The sequence below is a fragment of the Homo sapiens genome, chromosome 6 (genome assembly GCF_000001405.40).
Source record: "Homo sapiens chromosome 6, GRCh38.p14 Primary Assembly".
NCBI classification, from domain to species: Eukaryota; Metazoa; Chordata; class Mammalia; order Primates; family Hominidae; genus Homo; species Homo sapiens.
The window spans coordinates 127,697,826-127,725,440 of NC_000006.12; the positions used below are offsets into that span (position 1 = coordinate 127,697,826).

A 27,615-nucleotide genomic window follows, 5' to 3' on the forward strand; every position below is an offset into this window, starting at 1 on the left:
TGTTTCTCCTTAAAAATTATCAATATCCATTCTACTATATATTTTATTTGTTTATTTTATAAGTTATCAAGAAACAGTAGATTTAAAACTAATTTTGTCAAAATCAAGTTACTCCTCCATGTATAGTATCCTGGGCTTATGTATGTTTGGTAGAATGCTATTATCTGACCTTTTACAATTTAAATTAATGTTGCTCTATACAACTCGCCAATTAATGATTTTGCTTTCATAATTGGTAATTACATAGATTTTGTGAGATAATTATAAATTTCTGAGAAAATTTAAAAATAGCCATTCAACTTAATTGAATCATTTATGGTTGTTATTGATAACTTGATCTTATGAAATTTTTAATGATAGTCTTTGACAACCTATTGTGAATAGGCAAAACCTTTTAAAATAATGTTCAGATGATTTTTTAACAATGTTTAGGTTTTTAAAACTTTTAATCTTGATATGGAAAATAGAGTACACCACCTGACTCACCAGAATTTTATAACATTAGTGCATATAATCTTTGAACTACATTATGGACAAGATAAGAATGTTGGTCCATACAGCTGTGAGGTCAAGGCCAGGTTTGCTGTCTTTTAGGAAGAATGTAAGGACAATAGGAGAATATGCCCTCTTTCGTTAATATCCATTGTTTCAGAGGCCATATTAAAATTGTAGTATATTACACAAGTCTATAAGGAAGGTTACTCTTTCTGGCTGAAAAAACCTGTGAGTTTTCTCCTCCTGTTATAATGTTTATCCTTAATTCAATTGACTATGAACAAGCAACAGCATATTCACTCAGATGAAACAATCATACAGGACCTATTCTCCTGTTGTGGGTGTGGTTTGACATATTTCCTAGAAGCTATATACTACATATTGACTGAAAAGATACAACAAAATTCCTAATGGGTAGAAGTCCCCACCCAGGCCCAGAAAATAGAAAGAAATTTCTCTACTAAGTTATTAATTTGGAAATGTATTTCTTCATTTTGTGAGTTCCTAAATTGTATGGCTTAAAAAAAATCACACCAGATAATTTAAAAGTATTTTGACTAGTTGCTATACTGTTGTTAATTTTTCACTTTTATCTGGAGAATTAATTAAAATTTAAGGAGATAATTCTAGAGTCTAGAAATTCCACAGCCTTAAGTTTTGCAGCTGATACATTTTTTTTAAAAAGGCCAAAGTTTGGTACAAACCTAGTATCTCCACTCTCTTCATATTTCTAGGATATTCCTTCCTTATTATAATCCAATAAAAAAGAGTTAGACTTCTCTTCTCACAGGATCAATAGGAAATCTAGTCTCTTTCAAGGTCTCCCTCCCCAAGTCTTTGGGAGGAGGGGATGTCTTAAAAGTGCCTATGTGATCCACAAATTTATCTAATTTATTTCTCATCACAGTAAATCTGTCTACTACTTCAGATCTTCTACTGTCACATTTTGCAGTGTCATAACCATCTTTTTTGGCTGTGTGTGGTTTCTATGTTTGTATAACTTCTCACTAAGTGTAGGCCGCTCTTCTTCCATACATTATTTAATTAAGTAACATCTCAGATGTAATATTTCAATACACTTCATTGAAGGTTTTTGACAAAAGTAAATAATTAAAAGCTAGGGTGAAAAGTACATTGTACATACTAGATGATGTGGCTCCTGAATTTCACAGGATACGTTCTTCCACTAAACATTCCCCACTCTCTTCACTCTTCTTAAGTCTAAAAAGTGCCACCATATTACAAGAACTAGTCCACATGTCTAGAAAAGAGATTGATAGAACAGAGATATCAGAAATAAACCGAACTGTACATGATTAATTGGATTTCAATCAACTTGCAAAAGCCATTCAATAGAAAAAAGAAGTCTGTTTAACGAATAGTGATGGAAAGCTTAAATATCTATTTGGGGAAAAAAGGAAAGCAAAAATAAAGGCAGGAAGAATAAAAAAAGCATCTTTACAACCATGCCTCCTCATACCATACATAAATATTAACTCAAACAGATCATATACCTAAATGTAAAATCTAAAAATTTTAGAAGAAAATGCAATAGAAACTCTTCATGACTTGTGTTGGGCAAATATTTTTTTAAATATGACACACAAACATGATCCATAAAATAAAATTATAAATCAAACTCCATTAAAATTAAGAACTGTGTTTTAACAGACTATTTTAAGAAAATGAAAAGATAAACCACCGATCAAGTAAAAATATTTGCGAATCACATTTTTGATGAAGAACTTGTATTTAATATTTATATACATATTTATGATTCAAGTTTCAATCATAATAAAAATGAAAACCTATTCTAAATGAGAATTATTTAGACAAAGTTAATTATTTTCATGTAATGGGAGAAGGAAAACATTAGAGTAGTCTTCCTCTAACAGTGTGCTATTTAGTCTAATTAGCCTATGAGCACTATAAATAAATATTTTTGCTAGTATTTCACTACTAATCTCTTACTTAGAAATAAGAACTCTTCATGTATCTTTCCATGAATTGGAAATATTCAGCCCAGCTTGAGATTTCCTCAGAATGCACAAAAACAAAAAAAAAATTAAACGTCAGGGTTATGTCTAAAAAAGTATAAATATCATATGCATTAAGTACCTCAAGTACTTTGATAACATGCACTAAAAAGTTCAGATTTTACTTTGAATACTGCAAAAGACAAGAACTTGATATACAATGTAGAAAACATTTATTTTTAACAAAATGATTTGGGACATTTTAAGGAACATGCTGAAGAAAATGTACTTCTTATCTTTTATTAGCATGTGAGATAAATATAAGAAAATATTTATGAGATCATCCCAATGGAAAAAATGCATTCTAGCAAGATAGCAGAGCTAAAGTATGTGCCTAACAACATTATATCTGATGAAATAAACTGCACACAGGGGATTCTAATATGTATTTTATGGGAGGTTTGCTGAATGTCTGCATTCTTTTTTGGCCAGATCAAATAGCAATGTTTCCCTTATGTCGTTTTTCCTCCACTTATTTTTGTATATATAAAATATTTATATGTGTAAAACATGTACTACGTATACAATCAGAAATATAACATTGTCAATACACTTTAAGTCCGTTAGGCTCTCATCCCCAATCTCTCCTCAAACTTTACCCCAGGGTACCCCAGGATAAGTACTATTTTCAAACTTGTGCTTACCGTTCTGTTGCTTTATTACACAAAGGCAGTGAAGTGCGTAATTCTATAGTGCAAACCTTCATTAATCAAAACCTATGTATATTTTGATATAACCATAACACAGATTAATATATGGAACATTCTCATCACCCCAGAGACCACTTTTGTGCCTCCCCAGCCAGTCATAACCAAATCAAATGCAAACATCATACTTCTTTCTATTACCATAAAGCACTGTTGCCTTTTCTTAATATTTATATAAACAGAATCATATAGTAAATACTATTTTGTGTCTAATTTTGATGATTCATACAGTAAATACTATTCTGTATCTAATTTTTATGATTCTGGTTTTCAAAAAACATCCAAGCTGTTGCATTTTTGTGTAGTTTATCCTTTTTCATTGCTACATCAGTTTCCATCGCGTGGTTACACTACAATGTGTTTGCCTATTCTACTACTCCTGGGCATGGGTTGCTTCCAGTTTGAAACTACTTTGAATAAAGTTATTAGGAACATCATTGTACATGTCTTATTGGTAGCTAAATTAGTTTATATTTGGTTTTGTTGGATTTACACAAATAGACATTCTGGGTCATAGGGTAGGTGTATGTTTAGCTTTAGGAGACAGTGCCAAACAGTTTTCCAAATAGATTTATCAATTTGAACTCCCACCAGTAATATGTGAGAGTTCTGGCTGCTCCATAGTTTCTTCAAAACGTTCATTTTTTGAAAAAAACTTTTAGCCATCTGGTAGGTTTATAATGATATATCTTGTTGTAGTTTTAATTTGCATTTGCCTAAAGATTGCTGTGATTTTGAGCAGATTTTTATGTTCATTATCCTTTCGAATATCCTCTTTTATGAAGTGCCTGCTTAAGTTCTTTACCCTTCCTTAAAATTAGCTTGTCTGAATTTTACTTAATGATTTGAAGCAGGCTTTTATACCTTCTGGATACCATTTTTTATTGGACTTATATATTGTAAATATCTTCCAGTCTGTAATTATTTTTTAATATCCTACTCATTCTTGATTCTCGGATTTTTTTTTCTGGACTTATTTTCTTTCTTAGAGTATACCCTTTAGATATCCTTTTACCAAGAATTCAATTGACTGTAAGCCCCTCTGTTTTTGTTCATCTATAAGAAGTTTTTTATTCTTATTTTTGAAAATCTTTTAACTGGATTAACAGTTCTCACTGGAGAGCTTTTTCCCTTGTCACCCCATCTTCCAGCTGTTGTATTAGGCTTACAAAAGTCAACTGTTTGTCCAATTGATGTCCAAGTCCTATTTTATATCCTCCTTCTGAAATTTCACCATGAGTTGTAAGGAAATTACTTCTTTATTCTTCTTGAAATATGCTGCTGTATTTCCTAAATCTGAAATTTTGTATTATTTGTTATTCCTGGAAAGGTCTCAGACATCATCTCTTTGAATATTACTTCACTTCTGCCTTGCATCACTCTCTGAATTTCTCGTGCTCTTACTCTAATTAAGTAAATATTCTGCCTTCTTAAACTCTTCTCAGTGTTTTTTAACACCTCTTTTCCACTGTCCTGTCTTTTCTTGCTGCATTCTGGGTAATTAATTAAGGTCTACCATCTCAGCAACTTTCTCTTCTATTGTGTCTAACCTGTTTTTTTTTTTTTTAGCTATCATATTAATCATTGTATTAGTCCATTTTCACTCTGCTGATAAAGACATACCCGAGACTGGGCAAGTTACAAAAGAAAGTGGTTTATTGGATTTACAGTTCCATGTGGCTGTGGAGGCTTCACAATCATGGCAGAAGGTGAAAGGCACATCTCACATAGTGGCAGACAAGAGAAGAGAGCTTGTGCAGGGAAACTCTACTTTTTAAAACCATCAGATCTTGTGAGACGTATTCACTCTCACGAGAACAGCATGGGAAAGACCTGCCCCCATGATTCAACACACACAACACGTGGGAATTCAAGATGAGATTTGGGTAGGGACACAGCCAAACCATATTTATCATTTCTAGCACTTTATGTTTATTTTGTAACGTTGCAAAAACAAGACCTTTAGAATGAGTTTTTTTTTTTTTTTTTTTTTTTTTTTTTTGAGACGGAGTCTCGCTCTGTCGCCCAGGCTGGAGTGCAGTGGCGGGATCTCGGCTCACTGCAAGCTCCGCCTCCCGGGTTCACGCCATTCTCCTGCCTCAGCCTCTCGAGTAGCTGGGACTACAGGCGCCCGCCACTACGCCCGGCTAATTTTTTGTATTTTTAGTAGAGACGGGGTTTCACCGTTTTAGCCGGGATGGTCTCGATCTCCTGACCTCGTGATCCGCCCGCCTTGGCCTCCCAAAGTGCTGGGATTACAGGCGTGAGACACCGCGCCCGGCTAGAATGAGTTTTAATTTCACATTGTCAATCAAAGATACAAGAAACAATAAGTAAACCAAACACTAAGTTTACTTAGCTTTAATAAGGGTATGAAGCAGATAGCAAGTACTATGTGGGGCAAGAAAATCCTGGAGGGCTCAGACACCAAGCTGCAGCTTCCTGTGTACCCAATCATTGCACTGTTCTCAAGAAATGACAAGAATATGTTGAATGAGGGTCACATCAGCAAACACAAACTACAGGGACTAGGGCCCCATAGCTTAAGTACCTTGCTAGTCACCTAAAAGGGTATGTATCTAGCTCTCATTCTTTATTAACACTTTGGCACATTAATAACAGAATAAATAATAAACTAAACCTTGCAAAAATACAAGATGTGGTCATATGGATAAAAATTTTAAGATTCTGGTGAGCTAAGGAAGCTAGGATATCTCCTCAGACAAAGAACAGGTTATTGCACTATATTTGTTCTGGGCTGCTGTGACAAAATACCTCAGACTGGGTAATTTATAAAGAACAGAAATTTATTGCTCACCATTATGGAGGCTAAGAAGTCTAAGATCAAGGTACCAGAAGATTTGAGGTCTGGTCAGGGCTTGCTTTGTTTCAAAGATGGCACCTCTTGCTGCATCCTTACATGGCAGGAGGGAGCAAGGACACTCCCTTCAACCTCTTTTGTAAGAGAACCAATCCTGTCCCTGAGAATAGAGCCATCATGACTTAATTACTTCTTAAAAGGCCCGTCTTTTAATATTATCACATTGAGTATTGGTTTCCAACATATGAATTTTGGAAGACACCGACATTTAGACCATAGCATGTCCTTTACACCTCTTTCCACTAAGACAGCATTTAGTAAGGCTTTTGGGGTTGGATAGGCAGCATATGCCACACTTGAATATACTGCTCTGAATCATGTATGAGGTAACGCAAATGACTGACAGTTTTGTATGGGGCCAGGAGGAAGGCGGGCTGATATGGGAGGTCAAGTCTGTGGTTACAGCAAACTTGCACCTCTGCCATATTACTTGAAAGATCTGTGGTACTATGGGTATCTAGATATATAGCTGATGGGCGTCTAATAGATAAAGATAGTGTATGAAACCTCTGGCAAGCTCCAATAGGAGAATTACTGTGCAATCCTTGGAACATGGCCATGACATTTTATCACAGAACTACACAATATTTGAAAAGCTGCTGCCAACATGCTACTTTACCAAGTAGGAGACTGATATATGACAATAGAACATTGTATAATCATATGACTGAAACTGCCCTCTTGAGCTAGTTGCTATCAGACACAGGAATTCATAAGATCAAGTAAGCCCAGCAGCAGCACTTTGCAAGATAGAAGCAGCACATACAAGACTGGGGTGGAGCAGGTCCAGATGATACAAATGAGCTGTGCCAATGAGTGACTGATGAAGCACACAAGGCACTCACCCACATTGTTGTACCTGCACTTTTTATTCGGCTTACACTTCCAGAGCTCATGGTGAGGTTCTCTGTAAACAACTAATAAAATGAAGTGGATCCATTCATGTATGGGTCAACTTAGTATATTAGCAGAGGCCCAAATGGATTACTGTTGCACTAGAGCCTCACTTAGGAGTGGGTCTGAAAGACAATGGTGAAGTGAAATCCTCCCAGTGGACAGAGTTGCATGCATCTGGTTGTCCACTTTGTGTGTAAAGGGAAAAATGGCCTGCAATCAAGATAAACATAAACTCCTTGGCAAGTGGCTTTAATAGCAAATGACTTAGCTGGTTAGTCAAATACTTGGATTCAGATAGAGTTGAATATCATGGATAAAAATACCTGCAGAAGAGGATGACTACACCTATGAAAATGGGGAAAAGGTATGAAAATTTTATATAGCAAATTGGTGTTCATCACAGAACATCTGTACTATAAAATCAATTAGACATGTTGACTTAATCAGTAGATATCAACTAGTCTCTGTCCTTATTCACCCCAGTACTTGCACAATGGACTCATGAGTGGAGTAACCATGATGGCAGATATTACTGTAAGTCATGGGCCAACAGCATGAACCATTTCTCACAAAGGCTGATCTAGTTACTGTTACTGTTGAAGCTTCAATTTGCCTGTCACAAAGACCAATGGTGTTTGGCCCTCTCCCTGATAAGTTACCATCCATTGAAGAAACAACCTAGTCAGTTGGTAAGAATTTTATTACACTGAATCCCTTTCATCCAAGAAGAATCTATGCTTTCTCATAACTGAAATTGAAATATACTCCAGGTATTAGTTTACTTTTCCTTTCCACAGTGCCTCAGCCAGCACCGCCACAGAGGGGTCACAGAATTTCTGTTCTCCCAACATGATATCCTGTGTAATATCATCTCAGACCAGGTGACACAATTTGTCACAAGGGAGATGCAACAGTGGGATATACCTATGGGACTCATTTGTTGTATCATAGGGTACACAATTTGGAACCTGCTGGCCTCTTGGATTTGGAACAAATTTTTGAAGGTTCAGCTGAGGGATCAACACAGTAGTATAATCCATGCTCCAGGGTACCCTTAGGATCAGGCTGGAAAGATTAGGTTGGAGTTCTTATGAAACCATGTATTTATCTAGATCCTTCTCCTATCCTGCTGACTTCTTCCACTTCCATACAGATTTCTCCTAAGAACACTCCAATAAACCACTGAACGAGTATCTTCCCCCTTAACCTGTGCTTCTAGGGAACCTGAGCTAAGATAACAAGGACTAGATGAGTATTTGTCATGGCACATAAGAGTGGAAGTGGGAAAGAAAGAAAACTCAAAGAAGAAAAGATGCAAGACTCCAAAACTAAAAAACCTTGATGTAATATTTTATATATAATTTAGAACATATATATATTATAAAATAAAAACACATAAATGCATTGAGGACTTACTTTTTCTCAGACAAAGCTCCAAGCACTTTACATCTATACATTCATCAAATTATCACAACAACTCTACAATGTAGAGTCTATTTTAGTCCCTATTTTACATATATGTAGGAATTTGAAGCAGAAGGAGGCTCACAAACTTATCCAAGGCAACCCAGTAAACAGGGAGTCAGTATTCAGACCTGGGCAGTCTGGCTTGAGTTCTCATATTCCTAACTTTAATCAGTTCATTCAGCAAACACATATTGAGTGCCAGATATATGCCAGACACTATTCTAAGTGTCTGGGTGTAGTGCAGAAACCAATAAGAAATCCTGCCTTCAGGGGGTTTACAGTCTAGTGTAAAGGAGACAGAAAAGAAACAAGACATGTAAAAGATATAGCTTGTTAGATAGAATAAACTATTATGGAGAAAATTAAGGCAGGGAAGGAGATAGAAAGACCAATAAGAGTTGAGGTTACAGTTTGAGATAGGGTGGCCAGAGCAAGGCACATTGAGAAGGTAATATGTGGATAAAGCCTAAAGGAAGTAAGGGAGTGACCTGTGTGGAGAGGAGAGCAAAAAGTGTTCCAGGCAGGGAGAACAGCAAATGCAAAGGCCTCAGGGTAGGAATAGCCCTGGCATGGTTGATGAATAATGGTGTATTAGTCCATTCTTACACTGCTAATAAAGGTATACCCAAGACTGGGTAATTTATAAAGGAAATAGGTTTAATTGACTCACAGTTCAGCATGGCTGGGGAGGCCTCAGGAAATTTATAATCATGGCAGAAGGGGAAGCAAACACGTCCTTCTTCACATGGTGGCAGCAAGAAGTGCCAAGCAAAAGTGGAAAAAGCCTTTATAAAAGCCATCAGATCTCATGAGAACTCACTCACTATCAGGGGAACAGCATGGGGGAAACTGTCCCCATGACTCAATTACCTCCCACCAGGTCCCTCCCATGACACATGGGGATTATGGGAACTACAATTCAAGACGAGATTTAGATGGGGACACATCCAAACCATATCAAATGGGAAGGTCAGCATGACTTGAGCAAAACGAATAGGAAGAGTACAGAGAGAGAATGGGAATGTATTGTGCACACCTTTCTAGATCATTTTAGGAATTTTGGCTTTTACTCTGAATGAGGTAGGACATGACTGTGGTGTGTAATAATAGCACATATTTTAATGAGATCATTCTGGTTCTCACAATCAGAATAGATTGATAGGTAGCAAGGGCAGGAACAGGAAGAATTGTTACAGGGTTTTTGCAATAATCCAACAGAGATGACTGAAGTTTGGACCACAGCAGTAGAAGTAGAAGCAGTCAGAAGTGTTATAGTTGTGGAAATATTTTCATGGTAAAATCAAAAGAATATTTTTATTCTATTGGATTTCATTTTTAGTAGTCCAGCCTACCGGGGTTATAATTAGATCCTAATTCTGACTCTCCCCAGCGTTTTACATGTTATCATCTTCCTTTTAGAGGCAACTTGAACCAAGAACCTTTGGTTAAACACCTAAAAGTCTCATTATATGTTGACTCTAATCTTAAAGAGTTTTTCTATTAAAATCCTGGATGTAAGAGTTGAGCTAGCCCATCTCAACAATCACATTTTCCTCTTTCCATTTCTCACTCCTTTCTGACAGCCTTTTCCAAAACTGCTTGACTGATTCAATTAGGAAGAGGCCAATATTAATAATTGGTAGTTTTGGCACCTATCTATGCAGCTTGGCCATGCTGTGAAATTTGGTCATTATGACTGAGCTCAGCACTGTAAGTCCATAGGGGATGGAGAGGGCAGGGAGGACAATCTCCCTCCTCATGGCTTTTTTAGCACAAGCAGCCCCCTCCTTAGTGAACAATTTATTTCAATTCTAGTTAAAGAATATTTTAACTTAATCGTTACAGGAAGATAGTTATTCTAGAGTTAAACATAGAAGAGAACACATACAAATAAAAATTAGGAAGTTTATTTTCAACCTTCCCAAATCTCCAATAGGTGAGCATGAAGTTTATTACACTTTTCAATATCAAGACAACTGGAAACACAGTATGTGAAAGGACTTATATTTAGAAATGTTATATATGATTTCTATTAGAAAGCCCTTGATAATTTACAACCAAAGTAAGATATGCATTCTCTTAATTTTCTAATCAAAGAATGGTAGTTACTAAAAGTACAAATTTAATTGTTCTCAAATTCCAAACAAAAATATTAATTATTCACTATTGTTTGAAAAATAACAAATTATATGAGTCTAAAAACACCTATGGTGCAGTTTGTCAAGGCTGTTAGGTTAAGATTCGCTGTGGCCTTCAATAACCAAATGTGGGTCTTAGAAAAGTTTCTGTTCTTATCTGCACAAACAGGCAAAATAAATAAAAGAAAAACTGTCCCATAAAACTTTAGACATTGTAGATAAGAAATGATATTACCACAATCAAATCACTAAGCAATTTTTAGGACACTAGAAATCAGGATTCATTGTTACTTAGAAAAAATGTAAGGTAAAGTAAGCTTAATCAGAATATAAACATTGAAAAAACTCTAATTTTTTTTGTTCTAAAGTTGACTCACAATTTATTGTCTTCAGAAACACTTTGGTACAAAATCAACAAATTTCTCCACAAAACATAAAATAATTATGAGATAGGATGTTAGCTAACAAATTTTGTACAGAGTATGATCTATGGATGAAGTTCAAGCATTACTATTAAATTCCTATGTAACATTAACCAGATAGCCTGTCTCTTCATTTTGTTAAAGGAAAAATAATATTGTTCCTGTATACTTAATACATAATAAGATAAATTATTAAAATGTGAGAGCCCTTAAAGTAATTTTTATAGATGGTACAACTATAAGAGCATCATTCTGATGTATACTAATTAAGAATCACTTTGGTTTCTTGTCAGCCAAATTTATTATATTACAATTTTATTGTCTTTTTCTTTCCATCAAATATTATGATTAACTAGATAATTTTCCTACAATCCTAAGAAACATTCATCTAAAGAATTATCTGGTACATAGCACATAGAATATTAAGACATCGTCTCAGAAATCTGGTGAAATTTCAGTCATGAGCTTGTTGTTGGGTCATAGAAGAGAAGGTTATGGAAAACTCCTATGACTCTCAATGGCTTTGGCTGTTGGAATTCAAACATATTTATGACACAGCGTATTTTGTAAATACACTGTGAATGTGAAATCAAACTCCTTTCCATAGTTCCAAGGGATTTGGATAAGAAACCTGAACATTTTAAATCAGTCAGATATAATTATTTTTCTGTAAGTTAGTCTTGTTAGGAATGATGATAGCACTAAAAAATGGCAAAACAAATTCTGGAAAAAAAAGAAAATATTTGGTGGCTTTTATCCTATTTCAGACTGGTTTTACTCAGAAACTGAAATACAGAATTATTTCCCAATTACTTAGTTGTTGGTAGTAGAAATAAGAATCTGAAAAAATGTGCAAGTTAAATAAATACGTCCTAAAGAACAACAACACAATGCCTACAGATTTAGACACAACAGAATAGACTATATGAATTCTATATCATAGGTTTCTGTAAGTTTTATCTGTTAAAAGTTTTAAGGTTGTTCTTTCCTTTGCAGCGATGAATCAAGTTTCTTCTGGAGTCCATTGGGGAATACTCGTTTTTCAGCTAGAAGGCTAGCTTCTTTTTTCACTGCAACATTTATGTTTGCTGCCTAAGTGGCTTCTGTCACATCTTGTTATTTTTGATGTTTTTCATTTTTGAATGTTTCTATAAATAAAAAAAGAAGGGTTTATCAGAAATAAGTATTGAAAATAACCAGAAAGGAAACTGCCTGCTTTCAAATACTGTCGACACTCACATGCATATGGTTTTTGAGAAACGGTTGGAAGCAAAGCAGAAAGAGCCAGCAAAATAAAGAAAAAAAAAAAAGAAACAGAAGAAAGTAAGCTTTTCACTCTTCAGAAACAAGGTAGATACTTGTATGAGGTAGGAGATAATAGCTTACATGTATAAAGTGTTTTTCCGTGGACAAAATGCTTTTCTTTGCGTTTCAGTTCATCCTTATAACAACTCTATCATATGGGTAATGTAAGGTAGAAAACTGAGGCCTCAGTGAAGTTGAGACCTGCCCAGCAATCACATAGCTAGTAAGAAGATGAAGCTGATTGTGTCTAAAAATGTCTGTTTCCAGACTCAACAGGCTTTGGCTGTGGCACTATGCCTCCTGAATAGAATGCAAGCCTATTGGAGTTCTAAGAACTACAGAGGAGGAAAAAGGTACCTAATAATTGTTAAACTGAAGAAAAATCAACAGGCCTCCAGCATAAGCTGTACTATCTAAAGCTCCTAGTTAACATGTACACATACCTGGCATTGAGACAACATCATGTCAGACTCTCAAATAAAGCAAGCTACGCTACGAATAGGAATTGTGCCTATCTTCAGGCAAGACACTTTATTCCTTTCTACTATGGCTTTATGGAGCGCGATGGATGGGTAATTAAAAGAAGCCCTAAAAGTAAGCACTACAAGTGGTCAAGAGGAACAGAAAACCAGAAATCTCTCTGACCCTCCCCTGCTTCTATTGTATTAGAGGTTAGTTAAGTGCTAACTGCCAGGACCTGGAGAGAAAGTCTCTGTTGGTCTTCCTTCTGAGCACTCAATAGCCTATAACTGCCTGCCTCCCTCCCTCCTTCCCTCCCTCCCTCCCTTCCTTCTTTCCTTCCTCCCTCCCTCCCTCCCTTCCTTCCTTCCTCCTTCCTTCCATTTGTTTTCCTTCCCTTCTTCTCCTCTCCCACTTTCCCTCACTTTCTTCTTTTTTTTCTTCCTGCTTCCTCTCTTCTTTTCTTCTTTGAATTATTTTTCTGTAACACTAGCTGTATAACCTAAAGTAATTTACTTTAGGTTACTAACCTTTATATGCCTCATTTTCTCATTTTTTTTTAAAGGAGAAGGAGGAGAATAATGCCTATTGAATGGAATAGTTGCAAAGATAGAATATGTCAATAAATGTAAAAAGACTAAAATTATCTCACTATCTCAGCGATTTTCATGATGTGTGTGAAACACAGAAACAAAATATGCAGTTCTGTGGCTCCTGAGGAGGTCACAGACTACTTGAGAAGGAAGAAAGGTAATGTCAAAGGAGAAAGAAGAGCGATTTCTCCACATACCTTGGTAATTTCCCTAATCATCTGAATTTACTTTCCTCTGTCAACATTTCCATCAGTGTTAACTGGGACTGGGAGCTGGAGTGGTCAGTGGGTTGATGGTGAAGAGAACCTGGATTGCATACTCTCCTAGATTTCCTTCCCTCTCCTCATGATCCACTGTCCTCAATGGCTGCCTTTAGCTTTTTAGATCTTTCTTATATGACAAACAGTAATAAAACCATATACTGTAGAATATACATTTTAGATATAAGAACACAAGATTTTTAGGCAGTATGCCCAGATTTAATTCCCACTTCTATCATTTACTATCTTTGTGACTTTATCTATAAAAAGGAATAACAGCAATATTTCTTCCTTACAGTGCTGCTTTTCTTAGGGAGCAGGGGGATGGGATGAAGGAAAATGAAATAAATGAATTGTAGTACAGAGAATTGGAAACTGAAGACCTAAGTCTGATTCCTGAGTCTACAACTTAACTGGCTGTGTATTTTGAGGAATCTCTGAATTCCATTTCCTTATCAGTGGATAAGTTTTCATTATAATAACTGAATCATAGAGAGTTGAGGAAATACCAAATGAAATAATGAGCTTGCAATTACTTTGTAAAATGTAAAGTGCTACAGAAATATCACTTGCCATTGCCATCTCAGAGTCACATAAAACTATTATAAGCATGCAGTTTGAAAGTTCAATCTGTCATCTTGACAGTTATTTGTCCAACTCTCCCTTGTCAATAAGCTGATTTAAGATAGTACACAGTTAAGCAGAAAAATGGGAGTTGAGGTAATTAAAATAATTAGATTATTTCCAAATAAAAAACTGGGATTTAAACAATCTTAGTTTTAGAAGAGACCTTATACGTCAGCTCACCCTGCCTGATCTAACCCAATCTTCACCCAGTGCAGTGGTCCTCTAAATTACATCTATGCTCTGGTGGCAAGCTCTAGTTGACAGAGCAGGAGATTCCACATTGAATAGAAACTGTGTTTCTTGCATACTACCTTTCAGGAAATCTCAAAATGTGCAAGAAATGTTTTTCTGACAATAATTTAGGTTCTAAAATCCAAATTGATTTAAAGTCTTTATCTTTTTGGCATTCACCTACTCCTTTTGGAAATGTCACAAGTTCAATAAAGAGGTGATGATTCTCATGTTGAAATGGATATTCACTGAACCAATTACTCAGTTGATCAGACTAACTGAGGTATTTGGAATCATGTAGACAAGTTTCCTTGGAGATCAAGTAAATTATTTCATTCATAGAAGAGTAGACATAGAATGGAGTTTCATTTTGCTTTTTGCTTTTCTTTCTCAAAAATACAGGCTAAATAAGTGTCCTTCAATGGTCAGAATTACATCTTTTTAATAATAACTTACAAAATGAAGTTATAAGCATAAAATTACATGGGTAATTATTAGAATAAGAAGGTTAAAGTGAAAGAAAATTTCAATTTCGTTATATTTTAGAGGAATCAAGCTGAAGTATGTCTAAAAGTAATTTACATTCTCTTATAAACCTGATGTTTCCTAAAGTGTTAATTTGAAGGAAAGCTGTTCCCTTGTCACTTTTGGGAAACTTTGAGTGCCAGTCCCCTGAAATTGCTCAATGTGATGGTGAACACTCAAACCTGCCATGAACCATCTACCTCTTTTAGGATGCAACTTGATTGTGGTTTCTTGGAGTCTCTTCTGAACAGTTTCAACAGGATTTTCATTCATGTTTTCATATTTTTACCCACCATTAACTTCCCTTTCCTTTGTATCTTTTGTCATCAAATTGTTGGCTGAGACTGAACAAACAAATAATACAAGTTAATAGCTGCTTTATTTCCCCTCTCATTTGAAGTGATTAAGTGAGTATTGTATCATGTTTCAGAGATGAGTCTTCTATGTGTACTCCAGCAACTGTTTTTGCATACAGAAAATGTTTGATAGAATCCACACATAATCTGTCAAGCACAAGATAGGAGTCTGGGGTTCATTTTTGTATTCAAGAAATACTTACTGTGAACCTCTTATGAGCCAGACACTTTCCTATAACCTAAGGATAGAGCAAACTGATAAAAAATCCCTGCCTTCATAGTGACCTTATGTGGAGTAGGTGACCAATAATCAAAATAAAAAGGACACTGCAAAATATGTTAGAGAGCACAAAGGAGGCAGATAGTGCCAGACAGGAGGGTTATAGTTTTAAAATAAGGTGATAACTAAGAAGGTAACCATTGAATAAAGACCTAAAGGAAGTGAATCTGAAAGCCACATGGATCTCTGGGGAAAGATTATGCCATTTAGATAAAATAGTCTGTGCCAGCCTTGAGGATGGAGCTCTCCTAGGGTTTTTGAGAAACAGCTATGAGGCCAACATATCCAGAGTAGTGAGAAAGGAGAAGTAGAGAGGCCACTGGAGGATATTGAGGAGAGGAGTTACACAATCTGGCTTAAGATTATTATACACTTACTCTGGCTGTTGTGTTGGGAATGGACACTATGGGCCATGTGTACGAGCAAATAGACTAGTTAGAAAGCAAGTGCAAGAATCCAGATGAGAGACAGTGGTTGATAGCAGCAGATAGCTTAGACTTGGTTGGTAGCAGTAGCCATGGAAAAAAAAATGGGCATATTCCGATGTTCTTTGAAGATAAAGCCAATCAGACTTTCTGGTAGAGTGGTGTGATAAGTGAGAAGAAATGAAAGGTTGTTCACAATTCTTCTAGTGCATTATTTTTCAAAGTGTGATCCATAGAACCCCTACAGCAGACTCACCTGAGATACATTGAAACACATCCCCGTGGTATACCTGAATCATACTTTTTCACTAAAGGGCTAGACAGTAAATATCTGTTACCATTACTTGACTGTGCTGATAGAACACTAAAGCAGTCATAGACAATGTTTAAATAAGTGTAGATGTGTTCCAATAAAACTTTATTCATAGATATTAAAATTTGAAATTTATAAAATTTTTACATGTCAAAAATATTATTTTTAAATATTCCTTAACATTTGAAAATGAAAAATCAAACATTCCTGCCACCCCAGCCATAAAAAATCAGGCAATGGGACCTATTAATATTTTACCCATAGGCCATGATGGTTTCCCAGCTCTGCTCTAGAGAATAGATCCCAAGAATATGTATTTTTAACATACACATTAAGCGATATTTTAAAGCACAAGAACTTTCCTGTAAGATAAGTATTTTTATTCTAATTTTAAAGATAAGAAAACAAAATCACAAACAAATGTGACATTCTTTGAATTAGAGCTTAGTCTTGGGTCTGTCTCATTGCAAAACTTGCACTTTCTACCATCCCCCAGCACCTCATGGAATAGTTTCCCAGGGGTTAATATTTCTGTTCAACCATAGATGGAGCAGAGAGCAGAGTAAAAAGAAAAGAAAAAGGTTGCTTTGCCTAGAGAACTGTTTTTCCCTCTCAATATGGTACACGGTTTTGCCTTCATAATTAGCATTCTGCTGATGAGATCTCCCATTGGTGAAGGCTTGCGAGTAAGATTTCCATGAAGAGCAAACACTGCAGGAAATAAATTAATCTCTAGGGAAGAAGAGGGGCCAGGTTGTCAGTGCTCACACAACTTCCTAATAGGAAATGATATTTCAGAATTGTTCAAAGAATGAAATGACTGTGGGTTCTCCTTGCAGCACATTCTTAAACATTTAAATCTTCTGAGAAGAGGGAGATAGGTTGCTATAAAATGAAGAGCAATCCTATAACATTTTTCTTTAGGGTGTCAGTATTTCCAAACTAAAATAGCCTTATCTAGAAGTGTAAAATAAATTCTACTAATATCGTTATTCTGTTTATATTATAAGAAATCTACATTGATGTTAAATATAAAGATGAAAGGACAGATTTTTAAATCATTGGTTAAAAATTATACGATATTTTAAATAACAGGTTTTCTAGACTTTGGAATAAAAGTAATTTTTGCACTTAGAACACTACTTAGAATAACATTGAATTATTGAGGTGTTTCTTCATTAAAATTAAGAAACAACAATGTGCTTTATGATCTAAACTACCTAACTCTTGATCCCATATAATCAGCCTTTCAATTAAGGTCTTTAATATAGAACCTCTGACTTGTCTAATCCTCAAAATGGTCCTGATAGGAAACTACTTAGGTTTTATTTTCCACGATACAAATAGGATCTGAGGTTTACACTAAACATTTAGATTAAACTAAAGCTACAGAATAATTCTTTATTCTCTAGCTTCCACCTTGGCCTAAGAGGAGAGCTTTCCCAGGGAGTTTGTTTTTTTCTGACCTGTTTAAATTCCCAAACTAAGTAGGATCTTAGACAGGGTGAATCACCTGTATGTGAGTCTCACTTAGAAATAAGACCATTTGAGTCCAACAGTTTCAATGTTCTAACTCAGAGTAAGCCAGAGGATCACAGGCTTTCAGAACTGACAGGGCATACAGATTATCTGGTATACCCACTATTTTGATGGAGAAAGTCAAGCTCAGAGAAATGAAATGGCTTCTGAAATGCTATGCATCTAGGTTGTGGCAGAACTGGGACTCAAACTTGGAGTGCCTTGGGTTTCATTTTCTAGCCCAGGGTTTGTCTTACTACTTGACTAGTCTAATTTATGAAGGACAAGCAGTGACACAGATTTAGTGTAAAGTTGTAGGGAAAATTCGAAGAACATAGTCAAAGCTACAATAGGAAGAAAATTACATTAGAAAATATGGATCAGGAGAGTATAACATTTGCTTATTAGAAAACATTTATGTTTATGTAGGACAAAAACAAATAAGCATATTTAAAAGGTCATCCTTCCTGGCAGTGATTTGAGTTTCTAGAGAGACATAAGGAAGAAAAAGGAAAATGGCCCCCTGTTTAGCCAGGAAGATAACCGGAAGCAATGGCAGCAATTAATGAGTGACCCACATAATAATCAGATCCTCCTCAGAACTAAATAATCATCCTCTTGTACCAAATGGCTGCGCCCTTGGCTGAAAAAAAGCCACATTGCCCATAACCATAGACCCTTCTCAGGGACAGCTGCATCCAATGATTGTTTGATGCAGGGGGTATAAAGGTCTGTTCCCCACCCCCTAATTCAGGACAACCCTGAAGAACCATGCCAGCTCCAGATCTCCCTATGGGATCAGTTGAGGTCTTTGTTGTGACTGTATCATGATTCAATTTTTCCCTCTGCCCAGACCTGCTTCTGGGACTCTGCCTCAAGCGCTGTTCCTGGGAGCACTTTCCAATCAACTTTCCACATGTAAATCAACCCAGGGAACTGGATGCAACAAATAGTTCAATGAAAACATTTCCACTTAACACATGTTATTACTAAAAATAGACCTTAAGCTGAATAAACATTGAAGCCCTGTGTTCCTCCTTAGCTATTGCTGCTGAAGTAAGATGGGGAAAGAGTCCATTAGAGAGCGTCAGGGCATCCATGTCTCTACACAATTGGAGTGTTTCTTTTACTCTGAGGAATCAGTGACATCATCAAAAAGGGTTTCTCACCCCCTCCATGTTCATAGCATTCACAAAGGCTATAACATTTCCAAGAGCATACTGCTCTCAAAGGCAAAAAATGCAGACAGAAACTCAGAGACTGAAAGATCCATAACATCAAGTCGCCACAGCCAGCAATTTACAGAGCGTATCATAGGAAAACAAAGTTTTCCTTAGCAATCAATTCATAAAGATTCAGTAGTTAATTATTATAGCCTGACTTCATTGTAGCTTATTATGTACTCTACTAACTTTTACCTATTTGATCTAATATAATCTTCAAAAAAAAAAAGCACATGGTATAGCACTACTAGTAACTCAATTTTACAAATAAAGGAATAGTCTTAAATAACTAATTGCTCATGGTATATAGCTACCTAATGGGGGAGCCAAAATGTAAACCCAGAAATCTCAGTTCAGCCTCTGAAGGTCTGCACTTTATCATTCTATCACTTAATCATCCTACTTTCAGAGAACTTTTTTTTAAGTAATTTATGGATAAAATAACATGTAGAATTAATAATAATGTTCTTAAAATAAGGCATGGGCATCACTAAGCAACAAGAGTGAATCAAGGACCCACAGAAGAAGGTCATCTAGAATCTGGTGAAATGTTTTCATCAGTTTCTTAGTGAAGACATCAGTGGCTGACAGCACTGATCCTGAGTGAGGTTTTACCGTACTCTTGGCTGGAATAGAGTCTTATTACACAATTCGTGTTCAGTCATTCACAGCAAAATTTCAGTTGTTGACATTGAATACCAAGATAACTAGTTTCCTTAGTACAATTATTAGATACATATTTGAAAAGGTTCCACCCCATGTAACTGAAAGAATTAGGTCTGGGTATCCTGAAAGAGCAACATTAGAAAAGCAAAGCAGCACCCCTATCTTAATTAGGCTTTTTTTTTTTTTAAGTCAGTGATATGCTACAAAGTCTCTGCAACTGTTACTCTCGTCAAAGAGAATTTAGGAAATGACTGACTTATGTCTAAGCATTAGAAAGAGGAGAAAGCTCAGAAAAGGCCTGCTCTACCCATCCTGAACTCAAAGAAGGCTACTACATATTCCATGAGCTATCCATATGAAGTATGGTAAATGTTAAGTATGGCTCCAGTGAGTCTTTTTTTTGGAAATGAAGAACATATACTATATTATATAAGATGAAAATAAAGTTTGAAAAATTATATTTTTGCTCTACTTTTGTATTTTTATATATAGAATTATCACACAATTATAATCCATAAGGAAGAAATACTGTAATTATTGCATTTACAAATGGGAAAGCAAATAAAAATATTGCCAAGATGTTCATACTGGGTAATTTCTAAATAAATGCATGTTAAAATCAAATTGATCTAGGAAAGGAGATTCCATTTTACTCTCTTGAATGAAGTTAGGGGGTCTCACTTGCCTAGAACCACTGCTTTAATTCCAGGTCATCTTTGTCCCTAAAATCATCACTTACAAGTAATACGTTCAAAGCAGGTGCTGCTCTGGTCTGTAACATACGCTGTACTACTCACTCAAGGCACAAAGCTGGGACTACTGCTGTACCATCCCAGAAAGATTCACATACAAGAGAAGATTAGATAATGTTTCCCTCTGATTGAAACAAAAACTTTGATCTCAGGAATTGTGTTATCTGGTACTTTTTAGAATCCACAATCTTAAAGAAAGAAAGAAAAACAAGTTCCAATGAATTAATAATGGCTTGAGACTCAATGCGCTGCAGCAATTTTCACTGCAGTGGTTGTTTCTTTTATAGTCATACTTGATTAGTATTAGAAATTTGGAGGAATTGCAATATGCGTGATTTTCAAAGCCCTTTACAGAATTTCATTTTTCTCTCTCGGAGAGAGTCAATGAAAAGGTAATAAGAAAAGCTCTATGGGACTTTTTTATAGGAGTGTCAGAAGCCAGTAAGCTAACTACATGAAAGAACCCAGATTGTGCAGACAGGGTTTGGAGCAGAAACACTTCAGAGACTTTATCTAGTATTTTGACTTTTATATGTCCTTGGAGAAGAAAGCATGCTAGCTACAAAACCAAATAAGGAGGAGAAAGGAGCAAACCGTATGCTTAAGAATAATTACAGTTTCAATTTTTGTATGAACTAAATGTGAAGTTTCAAAGATAAAGTGTAATAGAAATTGAGGGGGTTTGGTGTGTCTAAAATATTGGCAAGAAACAAACTTCTTATTTCCCTTGCTAGCTCATCCCAAATTTCTGCCATATGGAAGTTAGTCTGGGTAGCTTAATTGAATGCTATCAACTCCTCCACAAGTCCGTTTGCTTTTGTTTTGCACTCAGTAGAGATGAAAAATATCAGATCACAATCTCTATAAACTAAACCATCATAATTCAAGCTTGCATTCAGTGACTTATCTGACGCTTCTTTAAATTTAAAACATCTCAATTATTTTAACCTCTTTTCAAGACAGTAATTCTTCTTGTTCATTGTTCCAGCAAAAATATTATTATCACAACAATACAAGTAATCTTGAAATATTTCATTGCCATGAAAACCATAAATGAGGTGAAAAATCTAATAGTGGAAAACAATAAACATTACTATTATTATTGTGAGTGTTCAATATCATGCTTCACATAAATCTTCATTTCAATGTGATTGGCAGAGCAGGGTGATCACTTGGGCTGAGTCATATATTCCAAATAAAATAATAGTAAGAATCTGTCCATTGCACCTTTGTCATGTGGACAGTTAAACCACCGTGGTTTAACTGACCTATAGTCACATCAGTACCTGCTATTGCTGTGGCCCCACGGTTGCTCCTTTCTTTCTCTTCATCCACCAAATCATTCTGACTACCAATCAGTACTTTTGAATCCAGGCCAGCTTGATTTGGGTGAAGTTTCTTGGTTATGTCTACGTGATGACGCTGAAATGACACAGGTCACAAGTAAATTATCAGTCCAAAATAAATGCTTCATAGAGATATGAAAGATTTATCACATGGCAATTCATTTCTGTATGTCTGAAACAGAACATTTGACATGTCAAAGCAAGCTACAAATTATATGTTCATCAATATATTTTGGAAACTGAGGTGTACAATTTTTGAAGCAATCTAAGTAACTAGAATAAGAAGTCATTTTAGGCATAGAAAACCATCTGCAAAGACTATTTGTGTATATTACTTTCTTCTTGTGAAGCTTATAAAATATTTTTCATTTAGAAAATTTTTACTTAGTTTTTATTATTATAGTTAACTAATCCAGCACTTCATTATATATTACATAATTACATATTATATAATCAAAAGCAGATTTCATTTCTGTATCATCTGTACTCTTTATATAAAACAAATCATAACATCTACTATAAATTAAACCACATTTTTAATCAGCATTATGCAAATTTGACAAAGCTCCTTTAGTCAATTTCAGAGTAATAATTCATCATAACAATGAATTATTAAGGCACAGCATCAATGGTCCCTATAACTCATCTCACATGTAAGAGATGTCACAGCATTTGACATTATACTGACACACTGTATGCTTCAAAGAATCATCAGATGGGAACAAAAAGTGAAGACTTCAATTGGAAATTAAACTTCCAGTACTTAATTAATTCATACCCAAGTCCAGACTAGAAGTTTGTCAAATTGAATAAGATTACAGAATATGTGAAGATTCTCAGCGTAAATATTAGCTAATCAATTATGGCCATTCAGGCTAGCCATGTTGGCTCACTAAAGGATAGTATAATGGACAACTTTCCTGTAAAGTTTCTCCTGTAGACCATATATTGCATGAAATTCATTAAAAGCTTGATTTTATAAAATCAACCACTTTTAAAGCTTGAGAAAGGCCAATAAGGAAATTAGGCTTTAGAATGATTAAATAATTCACTTGAGTTAACAAAATGAACAGTGCTGAGCCTTACGATATGAATCCTGAACTTTGGACAGTGTTCTTCATGATTGATTTCTTAAGATTTTTAATGTGGTGGACTGGATGTATGGATAGCCCTCATTCTTCACCCATCTCTGTATCCATGTCCTTTCTATAGAATTTTGCAGGGCCCTCCTACTCTGACTTTTGGCCTATCAATGTGGCTTCTTCTGGCCCAATAGGATATTGACACAGAGGCTTGAAAGAGGCTTGCACAATTGTTTTTGCTCATTCCTTAACTTCCACTATGCCATGAGGCTATGCCTAGACTAGCTGGCTGCAGATTGAACATGAGATGGGCAGAGTTAGGTCACCCCAGTTGTCCAAGCTGAAGCAAACAACAGCCAGAGGAGCCCCAGACGTTTGGGTGAAACCAGTCTAGATCATCTGAGACCAGCTCAAGTCAGATGAATTCCACAGCTTCATGAACTAAATGAATGTGATTTTGGTTGTATGCCATTATGTTTTTCTGGTGGTTATGCAGCATTGTATGCTGACGGATAACTGGTACATTCAACCACCGTCTATCTATAGTATCCCAGATAATGGATGTGGTGTGAGAATACAAATATAACATGACATTCTCTCAGACTCCAAATTATTCAAACACAATTTCTTACATTGCTTATGCAGATAATTAAAATAGAGTGTGGTAAGTCATTTGTAGATATTTCTCAATTCCTTTTCTAATGACCAAGGAAGGGATCCTAGCAATACTACAAAAGACAGCTCAAAAGATCAGTTTGGATGTTGGTATCAACTAGAACTAAACCACCCCACTTGTTTATTTTTAGCTCCTCCACAGTCCACAAAAATATAAGCCCATCACTGTAATTTTTAAAATTTATTGTCAGGCCTCTATTATCATGTAGTTTTTGGAAAGAAGCAGATTTCAGCATCCAACTACTTTCCTGATTCTGAATTACATACCTTTGAAAAGTATATTATTATTTCAAGTTATGACATGAGTATTAAATCACAGTTTCTCAGAACTGAGCAATGCAATAGATCAAAGAAGGAATAAGCTTCATGTTTGTTCATACCAAATTCAATTGAAAATATTAAAACATTGAGGGAAAGTTAAGAATTCATGCAAGTTGTGTATATTCTAATATATTCCAGACTGAAAATAAAAGAAATGCTGAGTTTATTTACTCATAAAAGGATTGTTGTGAAAACCTGAGAGAGAAAATAGCCCCTTCATCAGAATAGGTTCTGTATTGTAAAGGTTCTGTGCTTCCTGGTGCAAACCTCTGGCACACTGGACATTTTATAAACATATTAGTGTTTCAGTAATTAAGAGCCTCATTTTCCTGGAAACAGTTCCCACAGTGGAGTCTCTTCTTAAGCAACCCCTGTCAGATTTTCCAGCTTCTCTTTTACATTACATATTATAGCCAGGCTGCTGTTCCCAGGTCCTAACGTAAAGGGAGGTAGGTGTCTCTTAAGTTGCTGACCTTGCCACACTCGCTCTTCCTTGTTTACTTAGCCCCTCCTTCTAGTTCCCTGGGTCTGCACATTATACCCTGGCATCTCTTTTCTGCTACAATAAAATTCCTACAGTGTTTCATTCTTAATTGCCCAACTGCCCTCCACTAACCCTCAATTCTCTCTCTTCCCTCTCCCCTTTCCTATTTCTCAAATTCTTCCACCATGCCTTGATAACTTTGCTTTATGGTTTGCAAACTTCACTACCTGTTCAACTTCTTTTCTGAATATTGTCTCTACCTTCTTACCCTGACGAAAATCTCATTCTTCTTTGAAGACACCTCTTCTTCTGTGAATGATACTGCCTGCTTATTCTTCCTCATCCCTGTTACCCTTAAGTTGGAGGATCCCCTTCTCTGAGTGTTGTCCGTTGCAACCTTACCTCCTTGCAAAACATGTCTGCTACTTTGATATTCCTGTCGTCTAACTGTGTGCCGTCTCCCTTCTTGTTGGTATCATCTATCTACTAATATCCATGCATTTTTCATAAAAAGGCTTTGACACCCAGACTTTTGTCTTTTCTAGCCTCAGCATCGCTATGATCTTGGACAATATCCATATCTACATAAACATTCTGTCTGATTCATCCCTGGATCTCCTTACTACAAATGAACTTCTCATTTTTTCTACCTCATGCTTTCAGTCCCAAGATCACATCTGAAGTCTATCATCAGCTGAAATGTTTCCACCTCCAATATTAAGTATGTTCCTCTTTCTCTTCATCTCCTATCCTCAAGTTTATTCTCTCCACTCCAGCCAAATCTCCTTCTCCAAGACTGCTTTTTCCACAGTTTCTGCCAAGGCTATTTGTGGACCTCACTGGGATCTGAGATCCACTGATCCCTCTACTTTCTCTATATCCATCACCCCTTTGCTCTTTTTCCTTTATTCTCTGTCCAGCATCCATTGCTGCTCAGAAACTTCAATCTGGAAGACTTCAACTTGTTTTACCTGCCAGACTTCAACTTGTTTTACCTCTCAGCAGCATCTGACATGTCTGGTCACCTCCTTCTTTTGGTTTCTGATGTTCCTCCTTCCACTCTGAGTGCTTATTCTTAGTCTCCTTTGCTGGAGTATCCTTCTTTACCCAAACATTGCGTGTCAAGAGGTCTCAAGGTTCTGTTATTCTCCCAGTTTTCTTTTTTCCATTCCTAGATAATTTCAGCAATCATGTAGCTTGATCTACCACCTGTATGTTTATGACTCCAGCGGGGAGGTAGAGATTTATGAAATGAGATGAGGTGTAGAGAGGCAGGAGCTTGCATGCCTTAGTAAGCACTCTGGACTCTAATTCTAATGTCCTTTCAGGTCCACAATCTCATCACTCTTCCTTCCTGTCTGAAGGCTTGGCTATTCTGTTTGCCTAGGGCATTCTTAGTAAAATTTCCCCCTTAATATTAAGAAGTCCTGGGTTCCTGCAAGTGTCACTCACTGTATAAACCTTAGCCAGCACCCTATTTTCTAGTCTTTGTGCACCTTGTACTTCTACTATAATGCAATTTTTATAATTACAATCAAATAATAGCTGTTTTCATGTTTAATGTCTATCTCCCTGGCTAAAATAAAACTCCCTGAAAGTAAAAACTATGCATGCCCTGTTCACTGTCTTGAGCTCTCATCTCAGGGTTTTAAATATAATAGGCATTAAATAACTACATATTAAATAAATAGGAAAATTCATGAATAAAACATGACTTAATTTTTATGACTTTTTCTTTAGCCAGTTATCAGTGGCCAGTATATAGTCACACTCACATGCATAAGCAAGTTTGTGTATATCATCACTCCTAACAGTACTGCTTACATTATATATTGGTAGATAAAATGCAGTTACATTTTACTTTGTTTTATCCATAAAAAACACATATTTCAAATCCTGTGCTTTTAAATAAACTCATTACAGAAATCATGCAGAACTGTATTCATACAGTATCCCATATAGCTCTGAATCAAATTACATTGGTCATCTATCTATGGAAGTTATAAATCTGAGAATTGTTATGTTAGAGAAAGTGAGAATTGAGAACTAAGTGTGTAAACACAGTGGCCCCTATTACCCTAGGCATGAGAATGTGGCCTGACAACAACTGGAGAAATAAAATCCTCTGTCAGATCCTGCTTCTGTGATGTCAAGTCTTCAACCTGAAGGTTGGGTCCAGAGGAAAATGAGAAATTAAAATGTTTGCAAAGAATGGAGAGGAACATAGATAAATTTGAACTGCCATGCATCAGTCCTCTGTGACCACGCTGTAGTCGTACTTCAAAAAATAAGGTTCTGTTTATTCTATGTAATTTCCATTTAACTTGTTATTAGAAATGAATCATTACAATCCTGTCTGCTAATTTGAAATGACTATTAAATTATTTTTATGTTATTCTTGGCTTGTATTTTGCATGTTGTTTTTAATGTTCCTGCTAAAGGTAATGATGAAATTATAATGTACTGAATATTTGTCTCACAAACAAAGAAAGGAACAAATAAATATTACCAAAAAAAGTTAACCAAGATGTCCACAAAAAAAAATTGGAAAGAGCTCTTCAAATCTATCTTTCATCTCATACCTAAGGCCATGCCGTTGAATAAAATCATACTTTTTCAATTTATTCAGATTCCTAGTTCATGATTGTATTTATTTGTGCCCCTTCTCCCCAAGGGCAAATGGGCTTGTTTTTCTTTAGAGAGCTACAAAGGACCTCTCTTAGCCAGGGACTAAACATCACTCATATTTAAAGCAACTTGAAGTATCCTAGATAATGTACTTTACTTTTTACTTTGTAAAAAAATCAATCCTCTCCTGACTAAAAAAAGCAACCTCCCTCTCTGCTTATATAAACACTGCTACTTTCCACTGCCTGTACTTTTTCACTTCAGAAAGTACACTTAAGTGAAGAAATTTCAAGTGATATTTGAGAAGAAATCTCTCATTAACTAACTTTCTTCCAGAGAATTAAATTCTACTTAAAATAAGAACAATGACAATAATTCAGAGACTATACATAAATAAAAGAGAATAAAAATCGAATCACATCAAATACAGGCTTGCTGGGAATATGCAAATTATCATTGTAGAAATGCATTCTGTATGTAATCTGTCTCCTACTGTGTGTGTG

The 27,615-nt window shown here is 35.7% G+C and overlaps 1 protein-coding gene across 9 annotated transcripts in view; it reads right to left on the minus strand.

The window, feature by feature from the left end:
• The window catches only part of THEMIS (thymocyte selection associated), a 221,968-nt gene that overhangs the window by 1,198 nt on the left and 193,155 nt on the right, over positions 1–27,615 (minus strand). For 6 of the 9 annotated variants that reach the window (NM_001164687.2, NM_001394520.1, NM_001394521.1 and 3 more), the window contains 2 exons: positions 21,863–21,998; positions 10,375–12,191 (listed from right to left, as the gene is read on the minus strand). In NM_001164687.2, the coding sequence (NP_001158159.1) occupies positions 12,160–12,191; positions 21,863–21,998 (168 nt within the window). In that variant the 3' untranslated portion in view covers positions 10,375–12,159. Of the gene's footprint in view, positions 1–1,639; positions 12,192–21,862; positions 21,999–27,615 lie in introns of those variants that run through there. The other 3 variants (XM_047418766.1, XM_047418764.1, NM_001318531.1) reach the window with 2 other exon arrangements.